General features: G+C 39.5%; 1 long non-coding RNA gene and 1 pseudogene across 1 annotated transcript in view, besides 1 other annotated feature; both read left to right on the forward strand.

Annotated features, from left to right (window-relative positions):
* Positions 4,765-5,168, forward strand: RPL36AP12 (ribosomal protein L36a pseudogene 12; annotated as a pseudogene).
* Positions 8,937-9,112: a silencer, noted in NCBI's record as "fragment chr1:101121642-101121817 (GRCh37/hg19 assembly coordinates)". NCBI's record gives its function as "represses an EF-1alpha promoter that drives an FKBP-Casp9 reporter gene in an ReSE screen in K562 erythroleukemia cells {active_cell/tissue: K562}" and the evidence as "EXISTENCE:reporter gene assay evidence [ECO:0000049][PMID:32094911]".
* The window catches only part of LOC124904231 (uncharacterized), a 49,913-nt gene continuing 41,618 nt past the window's right edge, over positions 9,096-17,390 (forward strand). The window contains exon 1 of the long non-coding RNA XR_007066256.1: positions 9,096-9,655. This is a non-coding gene — a long non-coding RNA (uncharacterized LOC124904231). The remainder of the gene's footprint in view (positions 9,656-17,390) is intronic.

Raw genomic sequence — 17,390 nt, forward strand, 5'->3', positions numbered from 1 at the left:
CCATTCCAGCCTGCAGGCTTTAGAGAGTCCGAATGGTCCTGATGAGGAAGGGTCCCAGCACAGCACAGAATGTGACAAGATTGCTTCTTTGATCAGAACCCTGATTTGTTCCTCCTCACTGGGCAGGACCTCCCAGTTGGGACCTTCAGCTACCCCTGCCTGCCCTTATTCTATGGACAGAGCTCTGCTCTCTCCCTGGGATGGAGTGCCAGGGTGGGGAGTTGCAACCTTGTTTGTTTGGATGACTCAGTCGTTCCAGCCTATGGTTTTAGTTCAAGCCAATAATGGGGCAGAGGCAGTTCCCCAGCACAACATGGCTATGTTGCTGAGGCATGGCCAAACTGCATCTATAAACAGGATCTGGATTCACTCCTTCTCACTGGGTGGGTCCTCCCAGTCAGAGGACCCCCAGCAACCCCACCCATGTTCTACCACTGACAGAGTTCTAATATCCCCCTGGGATGGAGGTCCTGGGGGGTGGGGCAGGCCAACACCTTGGCTGTTTGGGCATCTCAGCCAGTCCAGCCTGCAGGCCTTGGAGAGCCCAAACCAGTCAGGGGCTGAAGAGATCCTCAACACAGCATAGCTGCTCCACCAAACTGAGACTACCAGACTGAGACTGCTCTTTTAAGTAGGTTCCTGGTCCTGTTCCTCCTGATGGGGTGAGATCTTCCAACTGGGGTCTCCAGCCACCTCCTACAGGCACATTCAGGCAGGCAACAAGTCAGTACCCTCCTGGGATGGAGCATTCAGAGGAAGGGGCAGGCTACCATATTTACTGTTTCACAGCCTTCACTGGTGATACCTCCAGGTACTGGAAAAACTGAGACAATTAGGGTCTGAAGCAGACCCTTAGCAAAATCGCAGCAGTCCTACAGAAGAGTGGCCAGACTGTTAAAAGAAAAAAGCCAAAACAACAACAAACCCCACAAAAACCCCATCCAAAGTCAGCAACCTCAAAGATCAAAGGTAGAGAAATCCACAAAGATGAGAAAAAGCCAGCACAAAACCACTGAAAACTCAAAAAACCAGAGTTTCTCCTTTCCTCCAAATGATCACAACACTTCTCCAGCAGGGGCTCAGAACTGGGCTGAGGCTGACCTGGCTGAAATGACAGAGTTAGGCTTCAGAATCTGGATAAAAACAAACTTTGTTGAGCTAAAGGAGCATGTTGTAACCCAATGCAAAGAAGCTAAGAAACATGATACAACAATGCAGGAGCTGACAGCCAAAATAGCTAGTATAGTAAGGAACATAACTGACATGATAGAGCTGAAAAACACACTGCAAGAACTTCACAATGCAATCACGAGTATTAATAGCAGAACAGACCAAGCAGAGGAAAGAATCTCAGAGCTTGAAGACTGTCTTTCTGAAATAAGACAGACAGATAAGCATAGAGAGAAAAGAATAAAAAGGAATGAATGAAACCTCCAAGAAATATGGGATTATGTAAAGAGACCAAATCTATGCCTGATTGGGCTATGTGAAAGAGATAGGGAGAATGGAACCAATTTGGAAACACATTTCAGGATATCATCCGGGAGAACTTCCCCAACTTAGCTAGACAGGCCAACATTCAAACTCAGGAAATGCAGAGAACCCCAGTAAGATACTCCACAGGATCATCCCCAAGACACTTAATCTTTAGACTCTCCAAGATCAAAATGAAAAAAAAAAAAATGTTAAAGGCAGCCAGAGAGAAAGGCAAGGTCACCTACAAAGGGAAGCCCATCAGACTAATAGTGGAAACCCTACAAGCTTGATGAAGAGGTTGGGGACCAATATTCAAAATTCTTAAAGAAAAAGAATTTCCAACCCAGAACTTCATATCTGGCCAAACTAATTCATAAGCCATGGAGAAATAAGACCCTTTTCAGACAAGCAAATGCTGTGGGAATTTGTTACCACCAGACCTGCCTTACAAGAGCTCCTGAAGGAAGCACTAAATATGGAAAGGAAAAACCATTAGCAGCCACAACAAAAACACACAGACCAGTGACAATATGCACCCTGGTCTGTACAAAAAGTACACGGACCAGTGACAATATGAAGCAACCACATAAGTAAGTCTGTAAAATAACCAGCTAATATCATGATGACAGAATCAAATTGACACATAAAAATACTAACCTTAAATATAATGGGCTAAATGCACCAATTAAAAGACACAAAATGGGAAGCTGGATTAAGAACCAAGACCCACTGATATGCTGTCTTTAAGAGAGCCATCTCATATGCAAAGACACACATAGGCTCAAAATAAAGGGATGGAGGAAAATTTACCCAGCAAATGGAAAACAGAAAAAAGCAGGGGTTGCAATCTTAGTTTCTGACAAAACAGACTTTAAACCAAAAAGAAAAATAGAAAAAGACAAAAAAGGGCATTACATAATGGTAAAGGGTTCAGTTCAATAAGAAGAGCTAACTATCCTAGATATACCTAAATATAAGCACTTAATACAGAGGCAACCAGATTCATAAAGCAAGTTCTTAGAGACCTTCAAAGAGAGAGACTCCCACACAATAATAGTGGAAGACTTTAATACCCCACTGACAATAGTAGACAGATCATAAAGACAGAAAGTTAACAAAATATTTAGGACCTGAACTCCGCTCTGGATCAAGGGGACCTGATAGATATCTACAGAACTCCACGCAATAGCAACAGAATATACATTCTCATTGCCATGTGACCCTTACTCTAGAATTGATCACATAATCAGAGGTAAAATACTTCTTAGCAAATGCAAAATAACTGAAATCATAATAAACAGTCTCTTGGACTACAGCACAATCAAATTAGAACTCAATATTAAGAAATTCACTCAAAACCACACAAGTACATGGAAATTGAACAACCTGCTCCTGAATGACTTTGGGAAAATAATGAAATTAAGGCAGAAATCAAGAAGTTCTTTGAAACGAATGAGAACAAAGACACAACATACCAGAATCTCTGGGATGCAGATAAAGCAGTGTTAAGAGGGAAATTTATAGCACTAAATACCCAAAGCATAAAGCTAGAAAGATGTCAAGTTAGCAACCTAATATCACAATTAAGAGAACTGGAGAATCAAGAGCAAACAAACCCCAAAGCTAGCAGAAAGCAAGAAATAACCAAGATCAGAAGTAAACTGAAGGAGATACAGACATGAAAAATCTGTCCAAAGATCAATGAATACAGGAGGTGGTTTTTTGAAAAAAACTAATAAAATAAATAGACCGCTAGGTAGAAAAATAAAGAAGAAAAGAGAGAAAATTCAAGTAAACACAATCAGAAATGATCAAGGGGATATTACCACTGACTCTGCAGACATACAAACAACCATCAGAGAATACTGTAAACACCTTTATGCACATAAACTAGAAAATCTAGAAAAAAATGAATGAATTCCTAGACACATACAACATTCCAAGACTGAACTAGGAAGAAATTGAATCCCTGAATGGACCAATAATAAGTTTTGAAACTGAGGCAGTAATAAATAGCCTATCAACCAAAAAAACCAAGGACCAGATAGATTCACAACTGAATTCTACCAGAGGTAAAAAGGAGACCTGGCACCTTTCTACTAAACCTATTCCAAAAGATTGAAAAGGAGGGACTCCTCCCAAACTCATTCTATGAGGCCAGCATCACCCTGATACAAAAACCTGGCAGAGATACAACAACAACAAAATTTCAGGCCAATATCCTTGATTAACATCAATGCAAAAATCCTGAACAAAATATTGGCAAACTGAATTCAGCAGCATATCAAAAAGCTTATCTATCAGAATCAAGCAGGCTTTATCCCCAGGATGCAAGACAGGTTTAATATGTGCAAGTCAATCAATGTGGTTCCTCACATAAACAGTGCTAAAGACAAAAACCACATGATTATCTCAATAGATGCAGCAAAGGCTTTCAATAAAATTCAACATCCTTCATCTTAAAAACTCTCAATAAAGTAGGTATTTAAGGAACATACCCCAAATTAATAAGAGCCATCTATGACAAACCCACAGCAAATATCATACCAAATGGGCAACAGCTGGAGGCATTCCCCTTGAAAACTGGCAGAAGATAAGTTTGCCCTCTCTCACCGATTCAACATAGTATTGGAAGTTCTGGTCAGGGAAATCAGGCAAGAGAAATAAATAAAGGATATTAAAATAGAAAGAGAGGAAGTCAAACTATCTTTGTTTGCAGATGAGATCCTGTATCTAGAAAACCCCATCATCGCAGCCTAAAAGCTTCTTAAGCTGATAAGCAACTTCAGCAGTCTCCAGATATAAAATCAACGTGCAAAAATTGTTAGCATTCCTACACACCAACAACAGGCAAGCCAAGAGCCAAATCATGAATGAACTCCCATTCACAATTGCCACAAAAAAGAATAAAATACCCAGAAATACGCTAACAAGGGAAGTGATGGACCTCTATAAGGATAACTACAAACCAGTGCTCAAAGAAATCAGAGGACACACACACACACACACACAAAAAAAAAACAGTCCATGCTCGTGGATAGGAAGAATCAGTATTGTGAAAATGGCCATACTGCCCAAAGCAATTTATAGATTCAATGCTATCCCCATGAAACTACCATTGACATTCTTCACAGAATTAAAAAAAAAACTGTTTCAAAATTCATATGGAACCAAAAAAGAGCCTGAATAGCCAAGGCAATCCTAAGTAAAAAGACCAAGGCTGAAGGCATTACACTACCCGACTTCAAACTATACTACACCTATATACTTCCATTTCTGGCCCATCCTCTTTCTTTCTGTGGTGATAGTGCTAGTGCAAACATGGTGAATATTTCTAAGACCCGCCGGACTTCCTGTAAAAAGTGTGGCAAGCACCAATCTCACAAAGTAATGCAGTGCAAGAAGGGCAAGGATTTTCTGTATGCCCAGGAAAAGTGGTATTATGACAGGAAGCAGAGTGGCTATGGTGGGCAGACTAAGCTGATTTCCCAGAAAAAGGCTAAAACTACAAAGAAGATTGTGCTAAGGCTTGAGTGTGTTCAGCCCAACTGCAGATCTAAGTGAATACTGGCTACTAAAAGATGCAAACATTTTGAACTATGAGGAGATAAAAAGAAAAAGGATCAAGTGATCCAGTTCTAAGTATCATCTTTTGTTTTATTATGAAGACAATAAAATCTTGAGTTTATGTTAAAAAGAAAAAAAAAAAAACCTATAATACTGGGCTACAGTAACCAAAACAGCAGAATACTGGTACAAGAACAGACACATAGACCAATGGAGCAGAATAGAGAACTTAAATATAGGACTACACACTTATAACCATCTGATCTTTGACAAACCTGACAAAACAAGCAATGGGGAAATGATTCCCTATTTAATAAATGCTGCTGGAAGAAATGGCTAGCCATATGCAGAAAATTTGAGCTGGACCCCTTCCTTACACCATCCTTGACAGAAATCAAGTCAAGAGGAATTAAAGACTTACATGTAAAACCTCAAACTATAACAATCCTAGAAGAAAACCTAGGCAATACCATTCAGGACTTAGGCATGGGCAAAGATTCCATGACAAAGATGCCAAAAGTAATTGCAACAAAAGTAAACATTGACAAATGGGATTTAATTAAACTAAAGAGGCCAGGTGTGATGGCTCACACCTGTAATCCCAGCACTTTGGGAGACCAAGTCAGGCAGATCATCTGAGGTCTGAGTTCAAGATCATGTGAGTTCAAGATCATGTGAGTTCAAGATCAGCCCGGCCAACATGGTGAAACCCCATCTCTACTAAAAATATAAAAATTACACAGGGATGTTGGCATGCGCCTATAGTCCCAGATACTTGGGAGGCTCAGGCACAAGAATCACTTGAACAGAGGAGGCAGAGGTTGCAGTGAGCCAAGATCGTGCCACTACACTCCAGCCTGGGTGAGAGAGCAAGACTTCATCTAAATAAATAAATAAATAAATGAATAAATAAATAAACAAACTAAAGAGCTTCTGCACAGCAAAATAAACTATCAACAGAGTAAACAGACAACCTACAGAATGGGAGAAAATTTTTGCAATCTATCCATCTGACAAATGTCTAATATCTAGCATCTATAAGGAACTTAAATTTACAAGAAAAAAACAAACAATCCCATTAGAAAGTGGGCAAAGGACATGAATAGATATTTCTCCAAAGAAGACATACATGTGGCCAAAAACCATATGAGAAAAAGCTCAACATCACTGATCATTAAATAAATGCAAATCAAAACCACAATGAGATACCATTTTACACCAGTCAGGATGACTACTGTTAAAAAGTCAAAAAACAACAGGTGCTGGTGAAGTTGGGAGAAAAAGGAATGTTTTTACACTGCTGATGAGGGTGCAAATTAGTTCAGCCATTGTGGAAGACAGTGTGGCAATTCCTCAAAGACCTATAGGCAGAAATACCATTTGACCAAGCAATCCCATTACTGGGTATATACACCCAAAGGAATATAAATCATTCTATTATAAAGATGCATGCACAGGTATGTTCATTGCAGCATTATTCGCAACAGCAAAGACATGGAATCAACCTGAATGTCCATCAATGATAGGCTAGACACAGAAAATGTGGTACATATACACCATGGAATACTATGCAGCCATAAAAAGGAACAAGATCATGTCATTTGCAGGGACGTGGATGGAGCTGGAGGCCATTATCCTTAGCAAACTAACACAGGAAGAGAAAACCAAATATGACATGTTCTTACATATAAGTGGGAGCTAAATGATGAGAACGCATGGACACATGGCAGAGAACAACACACACTGGAGCCTACTGGAGGGCATTGCGGGGGCGACAGGGGAGAGGATCAGGAAGAATAGTTAATGGATGCTGGGCTTAATAATTGGGTGATGGGATGATCTGTGCAGCAAACCATCATGGCACATGTTTACCTATGTTACAAACCTGCACATCCTGCACGTGTACTCCTAACCTTAAAATAAAAGTTGGAAATAAAAATAAGAATATAGCAAGCAGTTATTTTGGTATTTTACAGTTAATTTATTTAATATCTACATATGTTGAACATCTACCAAGTGCCAGTATTGGGTATAAAAGGCAGACCCTAACCTCATGGAGCTTACAGGCTAGTAAGTGATTCAGACAAATGAATGGGTAAGTATTATGTACTCAGATAAGTACCAGGCGTTTGATAAATGATGTGTTACTGTGTACAAATGACAGCTGATCTTAGGTCGTGTCTTCATCTAAGATAGTAACCATCTCATATGATTGCTGTGAGGATTAAATAAGGTTATGAATTTCAACCCTTTTTACATTGTGTAGAAAGTAGCAAGCCCTCAATGTGTAAGTAGTCACAGATGTAGACAGTGGCTAATGTAGCACAGGATGTTGTGAGAGTACATAGAAGGGTTGCATTGGTCAACCTGAGAGCAGAGCCTCTGAAAAGTCCTCTTTGAGAAGGTGGCTGCTAATGTAAGACCTAAATGATGACTGGGAAACAGCCAGGAGCGAGCGGAGAAGATTCCCTCCAGAGAAAGTGGTGGTATAAGGGTGCAGAAGTGAGAGACAATTGACAGTAGTTCAGTCTGGCTGAACAGCAGAATTCCAGCAGGGGAGTGTTAAGAGATGAGGCTGGGTAGATGAAGTATGCTAATTAACTAGCACTGGGGACATGTGCTGATTTCCATGGCATGAATTTCAGCTACCAACAATTTAACAATTGGGTCACAAAATTCCTCCTCTTAAAAATCACCTCTGTGGCAGGTGCAAGTGACCTCCAAGATACCCTAGTTACTGGGTTAAGAATTTGGATTGACTCTAGGGCAATGGATAGTCATTAACATGCTTTTAGCCAGGGAGACAGGGAATCCAATCAGTTTTGGAAGGATCACCCGGGCTTTAGTGAGGAGGAGACAGGGCAAGTCTGGAGACAGTAATCTAGGCCAGAAATTAAAATAAACTTAGTGAAGGTAGTGGCAGTTTTTGGAGAAGAAATTCGACTTAGAAGATATTAGAGCCAATAGATGATTTGTAAGATGTGGAGACTTAGGTAGGGGGCACATCCAGGAAGTGAGTCTGGATTTCAAACTTGGGCAACAGGGTGAATGCTGGCACCATTCTCTAAGAGCAGGAACTCAGATAGTAGGAAATGTTTGGAAGGAGGCACACTAATTTACACATTTGAACTTACTGAGTTTAGTGCCTCATCCAAATGCTGATCTCCAAGAGGCAGCTGGCTGGATAGATACAGAGATTTGAAAACCAACTGCATATGGATGGTAAGCCTGAGATCACAGGAAGAACCTAGAAGAGAAACCTAAGTACACCCCTGTTTAAGGGATTTTGCCAACAAAAGGAGCATAAAAAGGAGGAAGAGGAGTGGCTGCATTGCTGGGTTGAGAAACAGAAGAGATGGTGGCATGGAGCTAGTCTTCTAGCTCTAGTGAGCCTTTTAAGGAGGGAATAATTGGTGACACTAAACACCTATGACAAGTGAATGAAGACTAAAAAGTGACTATGGATTCAAGTAGGAGGTTGCAAGTCATGCCCTTGGTAAGACTAGATTTATTGAATTCCAATTGCAGGAGGTCAATTGGAAGTTGGGTTATAAACATAAAGTGACAAAGTGGTGAAATAAATGTAGGAGACTCAAAAAGTACAGCTGGCTGGTCCAGGGAAGGAAAGACAATAGGGTGTTGAGTGCAGAAGACACTGGGAACTAGGAAGAGCATATTGTTTGTGTGTTAGGTTCATGTGGAAAGGGAGAGATGTCTTAAAATGCTGAATTACTTAACAAATGCTTACATAATACCTGCGAATGGGCTGGCACTGTTCTAAATGCTTTACACATGTTCACTGATTTAATCCTCATAAAGAGAGATATTCTTATTGTCTCCATTTTACAGATAAAAAAAGTACCATATAGCCATGCAGCTAGGAAAGAGTGGTGTCAGCATCTGTCTCTAGGCTACCTGGCTCCAGAGTCTGTGCTGTTAACCATTACCCACTGGGTCCACTCATGTTGTTCTGCCAACTATGCTGATGGGAAGGGGTCATCCATGGAGAAGAGGATGAAGGTACAAGAGGGGGAGAAAAAACAGTAGGATAAGTGGTGGGAGGGGAATAAGATCAAGAGAACAAGTGGAGATGTTAACCCTAGACAGGGAGGAATATTGAAATGGGAGGAAAAGAGGATTGAAAGAAAAGGTAAATGTGTAAGTTTAGTGGCAAGAAATAGAAAAAATTTCACAAGTGGTAAGGGAGAAATGGCCTGGAAGCAGAAGTAGGGAGTAAAGAAGATCATGACCTAACCTTTTGATCCAAAGGTTTTATATGGAATGTGGGGAAAAGAGCAGCTTTCACTTGAGACATGGCTGCTGAGTGTTTCTGGGGGAGCCAGGTTTCAATCAAGTCAAGGAGGGAAGGCTCAATGAAGAGGTCCAGGCTGTAGGGGGCTGGATCATGGGATGAGAGTTACAGAGGGCTCAGAGTGAAGATCTGGAAGGGAGGAGAGGAATGGGGATTGGGTTGAGAAGGAAGAGAACGGGATACCAGTTGGGCTTAGGTCTTGGGTGGGGATCAAGGATAACAAGGTTTTTTCTACTGTGTTTGGAGAGTTTCCCTGGCTGAGAGTACACCAAGAAGTTGATCTCCTGGTTGGGGGAGTAGGTAAGTAAGTGGGTGAGAAGAGAAGAGAAGGAAGTGGTGGGAGGCAGAGATGATTCAGTAGTCAGGGACTCCTGGAGGGGTTGCACTTCCAAATGAGCCATCAGTCTGCAAAATGGGAAGCTTTCAGCCTCTGACAGCAGTCACTGTGTTCTGGATCCATCTGTGAAAGCTCTTGGGAAAGGCTTGTAGGAAGGTTTATAATTCTTTGTGTGCTGAGAAAAGTTTTTCCCCTCTGGCGTTCTTGGTCTCAATTGTGACAAGTCTTATAACATTATCTACCAATAGTATATTTCAATGGAGTAGGATGGCCATATTGTCACAATTGAGACCAAGACAAAGTTACAAGTGTTCAGGCAGCTGGTCATCTGGCTCCAGAGGGTCACTCTCAACCACATCACTATACTGCGCCCCACATATCTGCAGCACACATCAGAAAAAAGAAAAATTGCCTTGTTATTAGAGAGATATTACAAAAAAGGAAAAAAATCCCCCAAAAATCCATCCCTAAAGAGAAATGAGCAAAAGACCCAAATGGGCAATTAACAGAAAAAGAAATGTCAATGACCAATAAACATATGAAAAAAAGACTGAACCTCACTTAGAATTAATGAAATACTTCTTCACCTATTATATTTGCAAAGATGTAAATAAAGTTAATACTACAGACTGTTATCTACTTCTGATGGAATGCTAAACAGCCATTAAAAGTATGAAGTAGAACTACATATTCTGCCGTGGAAAATCTCATTATATTGTAAAGAAGAAAAAACTCAAGGTACAGAATAATATACTTTGTAAAATACTATTTACAAAAAGTATAGGCTCTGTATATGCATAAGTGAGCTTGTAAATGGTCAGAAAATTTGGGGAAGAATATAGAAGAAATCATTATCATATCTAACTGGAGAGTGGGATAGGGAGTCTAAGGGAATACAGACCATGAGGAGGAATGGTAACTCTTTTATAATGTTTTATAATGGAAAATTACAAGCATACACAAGATGGAAAGATTGATATATTGACCTTTCTCCCATTTACTTATCACTTAAGTTCAACAGTAACTCATATTACTTGATTATGCTATCCTTTTGTTCTGTTTGAAAAAACATTTACCACTTACATGTCTTGCTTTTATACCTAAAAAAACCCGACATAATGAAAGTAACATTTCCCCATGCCCTTGCAACCACAGTTTGCTAGCTTAACCTTTAGTGCACGCAAGAAAGCTTCGGGGATGAGGGGTCTGGAGAGTGTTAGCCACTTTGCTCTTGAACTCATGTCACCTCTGTAGCCAGAGGGACAGCGAACCTTATCCAGCTACAATCAACGATACTTTATTTAAAGAGTAACTTCAAAGGAAGATTGCCCACTCTGTAGGGGAGAGTTTAATATGCTTACCACTCACACCCACACCCCCTAGTCCATGTTTTTATAAAGGGACAACTTGATTTATCCTGCAGGAATGTTTTATCTCTGTATTAAGGTTTACTCCATTTCCCAGCAGAGCCCAAAGCTAAGAAAACAGTGCCTTCCTCCGCTTCAAACCGATGAGACTTGGGCAGCTGCAGTTGTTGCCAAATGTTACCCTTGGTCACAGAGGCATGACGGATGCCTCATGCTAGAAGTTCAGGGGAGTTTGGAAAAATATGGAAATTCCCAGGCACTATTTGGGGGCACAGTGCCAAAGTCTGAGGACTGAAAATGAGAATACCTGCCTCCCAGATGCATTCATTGATTTACTCACCCATCATTCATTCCAATATCGTACCCTTGGCCAGGCTTTGTGCTAGAGTCAGGATTACCAAGTTGAGCAGCTCACGGCCCCTGACCTTCTGGAGCTTATGAAATCTGTAATGAAGCTTAGTAGTTTGCTTTGCTTTTCTTCCTCTGCCAGAATTGTTCTTTCCTATCTTGTCCACCTAGTCTTACTCATCCTTCAGAATTTAGCTCATGAGGCACCATCTCCTATGAAAGACATTTACAATTTACTGTTTCCTCTGCTTAAGAACACCTCTTCTGTCTTGTCCACCTGTGATTACTCACCCTGCAAAGCCAGTCTTCATCCCTATAGCCCTGCCTGACCCCTCAGATCCAAGTTAGTTACTGTGCTTAGCAGATTGCATTACTTACTCTGACATGCTTGCCTCCCTTTAAAGCCCAGCCTTTGGTTCACCATTTCCCATGCAGCATGTGGCACATATTTATATTTGTTGAGTTAATGTGTAAAGTAGTGTAACAGCATAATTTCTCTCGATTTTGTGCCACTTAGACTCTCGCAAGTGCCTCCAAAGATAATCTCTTTGGCCATTAGCCCTTCCACAGCTGCTCCTCCTTCTTTCTGTATTCTACAAAAGCATGGATCATTTTATTTCAGGCTCTAAATAACAAGAGCAGATGAATGTCTCAGTCCCAGCGCTAAGCAGCTAAAATTTATTGCTTGTCCTTTTGAATAGATATTGGTATTAATTTTTAAACCCTTGGTTGATCCCTTCCACTTCAAATATTTTAAGTATAAGAAGAATTAGAACTTACAACTATGAAGATGATATCAATATCCTGCTGCAAAGTCTGGGTGGCATGAAGGTCATTGGAAGGCTTTTGTGTAACTGCAGAACTTTAAAAACAGCTGACTAACATACCGGGCAAAAAATCATATCATAATGAATAAACATTAGACAAGAACCAGGGGACCTGGCTTCTACTTCCTTTTGAGGCCTTCATTTTTGCAACAACAAAAAAGGAATAAATTAATGTTTGAGTGATTTTGTGATTTCTAAGGTCCCTCTTGGCTTTAAGCTTCTATGAGTCTATAATCCAGGAAGCAAATATTTTCTGTAAATTGAAACGAAATTAATTCTCTTATCCCGTCTCATCTTCTCTCATCAGCCAAAGGAGAATCTTTCCTATAAATAGTCATTAAAACATTGGGGAATGTTGTAACATTTTTCTTTGTGTTAGTAATCCTTTCTGTGAATTGAGACACTTACAGGTAACAAGCAAGGAAAAAAAGTTCCCATTGGGAAATTGACTTCAAAAGAAAATTCCAACATCCATTGTTTCTCTTGATATCTTTTTGGCAAAGATATCTTAATTCTCACTGCCATTGCAAATTTTGAATTTAATCCAATGGGTGAGGAGACTCCATCCTTATTTACAATTCCCCTGCTGATGGCTCCCATATGGGTGGGAGACCAGGCTCTCTGGAGCCAGCCTTGGCACCTGAGTCTCTGGATGTGGCAATCCAAAAGGCTCCTGTCACCTTTCCTGTCGGTATTATTTCCTTCTCCAGCTACAGGACTGCCACAGGACTTCTCCATAGTACAGCTTGTTTAATATGCAGTTCAAATTTCCATTTAACATCAATGATTCTGCAAAAAGAAATCAAGTAATTTTGTTTGATAATTATCCTCCCAATTCAAATTTCCATCAAATAACAAAGGCAGAGAGGTAAGAAGTGGCTCCAACCAAAAGAAAATTAGAATAGTAACTGCTAATAATTATCATGTGCTTACTCTATGCTAAGTTTTATCTCATTTATTCCTCACGTAACAGGAGGTATTATTATGCGCCCCATTTTATAGAAGAAGTAATTGAGGTTTACGGAAGTTAGTATCTAGTCTAAGATTTCACATTCTACCAAACTGAAATTCAGATGTGGAATATCTGACTCCACAGTCTACACATAGAATCCCTCTGCAATCCTGCTTCTCAAGAATTGTATATGTATGCTATTAGAATGGGAGATATATAAGGTCTTTAATGGATTCCAAAATGGTAATAGAAGCTAACTGTTGGCTTTTCTCCTGAGTTATCCACAAAAGAAGTTTTGGATAATACAGCAATCTAGCTCTTTACGAAATAAAGGAAAAGCTTAAGAAATATCCACTGAGTAAGATTTCAGGAGCGATTAATGAGTTGTATTCGTTAGGGTAAATGACATCAGCTGCTATAACAAGTGCACTCATATCTCAGTGGCTTAGCACAACAAACATGTATTTCTCACAGTTCATTGTGGTCAGTTGGTGGGCTCTGCTCTAACATCATTCAAGACAGGGTTGGGACTAGTATGACATAAGTCAGGCAAAATTTTAGGGGGTGCCAAAGATCTTAGTGATCAAGACAAATAATATTTTAATACAATATTTTGAGACTCAAAGTTAATGCAAAAAATCCATACTGAACAAAGTGTCTAAATTTTAAATAAAGACAAGATCCAGCAGGGCTGGATTAACAGGGAGGTGAGACTGAGTTGTGTTGGCTAATTACAGACTAATTTAAAAAATCTAACTAAAAGTAGAATGACCTGTACTCAGAAAATGTGTAAAACAAAAGCATGGATTATTGTCCTCTCCCACCATGCCTGGACGCATGGTAAAGGGGAAGAAAAGGAGGGTTCCTAGACCAGCAGGGGAGCAAATGTTACATTTTCCCATCATTCCAAGAGATGGAGCACAAGGATGTAGGGACTGAATTAGCTTTGCTTTGGCAACCATGGGATTCTAAAGGAACTGGGTTTGCTCATTCAGACACAGAGAAACAGTTATTCCATTAGCAGTCCTAGGTCAGCAGCTGCCCTGGAAAAATAACCACAAACAGTCTTTTGTTTAAGGGGCTACCTGAGATAGTTGTTCTCATGGAAGTCAGCCAGACTGCTTGTGTATGAGGTATCTTGTAACTATTTTAAATTATATTGCCCAAAACCAACTGTTATCTTACATTTCAAATCATATTTATACCTAATTATAAACTCACGTTACAGATGAGTTGCATCAAGCTACTTTTAATACAAGACCAACAGACTTCAATTAATTTAAACCATTGTCTTGTGGTCATAGAGATAAAACTTTATTATATAGTGGCAGGTGCAGATGAGCTCTGGACTCAAGAGAGAATCGTCCTGGGCACCCTATCAGTACACATTTACTTAGACAGGTCTTGCCTGACAATATCGACTAAAGTAACACCCACCAGTCACTACCACATATTTTTATTTTTTTATATTTTTATTTTCTTCGTGGCATGTATTCACATTCTGACATTTTCTTATTTGTTCACTTGTTTATTGTCTGTTCCTCACCCCAAACCCATTGCATTGTAAATACCATGAAATCAGAGACCTTGTCTTTCTTGTTTGCCCCAGTACACAGAACAGTGCCTGGCACACAGAAGGTGCTCAAAAAATGTTGGAATGAATACATAAATAAGTTGAAGTCAATTTATTGGTTCCATGTGGACTATTCTTTCTTCACAAAATTTCTGAAGTGATTAGCACATTAATACCCTCAGTTGATAGCTGTGTTTGTTGTTATTGTGAGGGGTTACAAAATATCCCTGGACCAGTGAGTAGTAAGGAGGAATAATTACAGTACCATGTTCAGGCTTTAGATACAAGAAATACTTTTTTATCCAATAAGGGAAACCCAATTTAGATTATTCCACTGTAATAAGTTACATATATATAACTCCAGGTCAATAAACCTCATGTTTCAAAATGACCACATTTTCTAGGCCTTTCTATGATTCTTGATAGACAATGGACATGAAAAGGGTTCTGGAAAAGTGGCCCTGTGGTGGCAGCTTTTGTAGATGTTAAACATTCAACATTAATGACTCATTTCATACACAAAAACACACACAGGATAGATAGATAGAGTGATAGACATATACATGTATAGATATATGGGTATAGGTATAGACAGATAGATCTGTGTAAGTTTCCTGACAATAACTAGAATGAACTAGCACATCATAACTCAACAGATGGCATTAACATTCACAACAGAATTCTTGTCCATCAGTTACTACATCATCAAGCAGCACTTATCAACTAAAGGCTTAGAGTAATTTATGATCCAAGGCCAAGTAACTGCCACTGATTCAACATTTTACGAGCTATATTAAAATTCGTGCATTTTATCAAACCGGGTATACTTTGAGATATTGGGTCATATTACTCTCTCTAGTAACAATACTCATCACACGATATAATCAATTACAAGAATCCACAATAAAATCATGCTGTACCTATTCAGAGCCAACTCTGCATTTTAACATTCTCCATATTTTAATATTGTAGCATTATATACATTTTAACATTGCTAGTATTGATGTCTTATAATCAACATCTTATGAATATTTCTTTTTTAAAATTATTTTATTTTATTTTATTTTTATTTATTTATTTTTTTGTTATACTTTAAGTTTTAGGGTACATGTGCACAATGTGCAGGTTTGTTACATATGTATACATGTGCCATGTTGGTGTGCTGCACCCATTGACTCGTCATTTAACATGAAGTATATCTCCTAATGCTAACCCTCCCCCCTCCCCCCACCCCACAACAGGACCTGGTGTGTGATGTTCCCCTTCCTGTGTCCATGTGTTCTCATTGTTCAATTCCCACCTATGAGTGAGAACATGCGGTGTCTGGTTTTTTGTCCTTGCAATAGTTTGCTGAGAATGATGGTTTCCAGCTTCATCCATGTCCTTACAAAGGACATGAACTCATCCTTTTTTATGGCTGCATAGTATTCCATGGTGCATATGTGCCACATTTTCTTAATCCAGTCTATCGTTGTTGGACATTTGGGTTGGTTCCAAGTCTTTGCTATTGCAAATAGTGCCACAATAAACATACGTGTGCATGTGTCTTTATAGCAGCATGTTTTATATCCTTTGAGTGTATACCCAGTAATGGGATGGCTGGGTCAAATGGTATTTCTAGTTCTAGATCCTTGAGGAATCGCCACACTGACTTCCACAATGGTTGAACTAGTTTACAGTCCCACCAACAGTGTAAAAGTTTTCCTATTTCTCCACATCCTCTCCAGCACCTGTTGTTTCCTGACTTTTTAATGATCGTCATTCTAACTGGTGTGAGATGGTATCTCATTGTGGTTTTGATTTGTGTTTCTCTGATGGCCAGTGATGATGAGCATTTTTTCATGTGTCTTTTGGCTGCATAAATGTCTTCTTTTGAGAAATGTCTGTTCATATCTTTCACTCACTTGCTGATGGGGTTGTTTTTTTCTTGTAAACTTGTTTGAGTTCATTGTAGATTCTGGATATTAGCCCTTTGTCAGATGAGTAGATTGCGAAAATTTTTTCCCATTCTGTAGGTTGCCTGTTCACTCTGATGGTAGTTTCTTTTGTTGTGCAGAAGCTCTTTAGTTTAATTAGATCCCATTTGTCAATTTTGGCCTTCTTTGCCATTGCTTTTGGTGTTTTAGACATGAAGTCCTTGCCCATGCCTATGTCCTGAATGGTAATGCCTAGGTTTTCTTCTAGGGTTTTTATGGTTTTAGGTCTAACATGTAAGTCTTTAATCCATCTTGAATTAATTTTTGTATAAGGTGTAAGGAAGGGATCCAGTTTCAGCTTTCTACATATGGCTAGTCAGTTTTCCCAGCACCATTTATTAAATAGGGAATCCTTTCCCCATTTCTTGTTTTTGTCAGGTTTATCAAAGATCAGATAGTTGTAGATATGTGGCATTATTTCTGAGGGCTCTGTTCTGTTCCATTGGTCTATATCTCTGTTTTGGTACCAGCACCATGCTGTTTTGGTTACTGTAGCCTTGTAGTATAGTTTGAAGTCAGGTAGCCTGATGCCTCCAGCTTTGTTCTTTTGGCTTAGGATTGACTTGGCAATGCGGGCTCTTTTTTGGTTCCATATGAACTTTAAAGTAGTTTTTTCCAATTCTGTGAAAAAAGTCATTGGTAGCTTGATGGGGAT

The sequence above is a fragment of the Homo sapiens genome, chromosome 1, assembly GCF_000001405.40.
Source record: "Homo sapiens chromosome 1, GRCh38.p14 Primary Assembly".
NCBI lineage: Eukaryota > Metazoa > Chordata > Mammalia > Primates > Hominidae > Homo > Homo sapiens.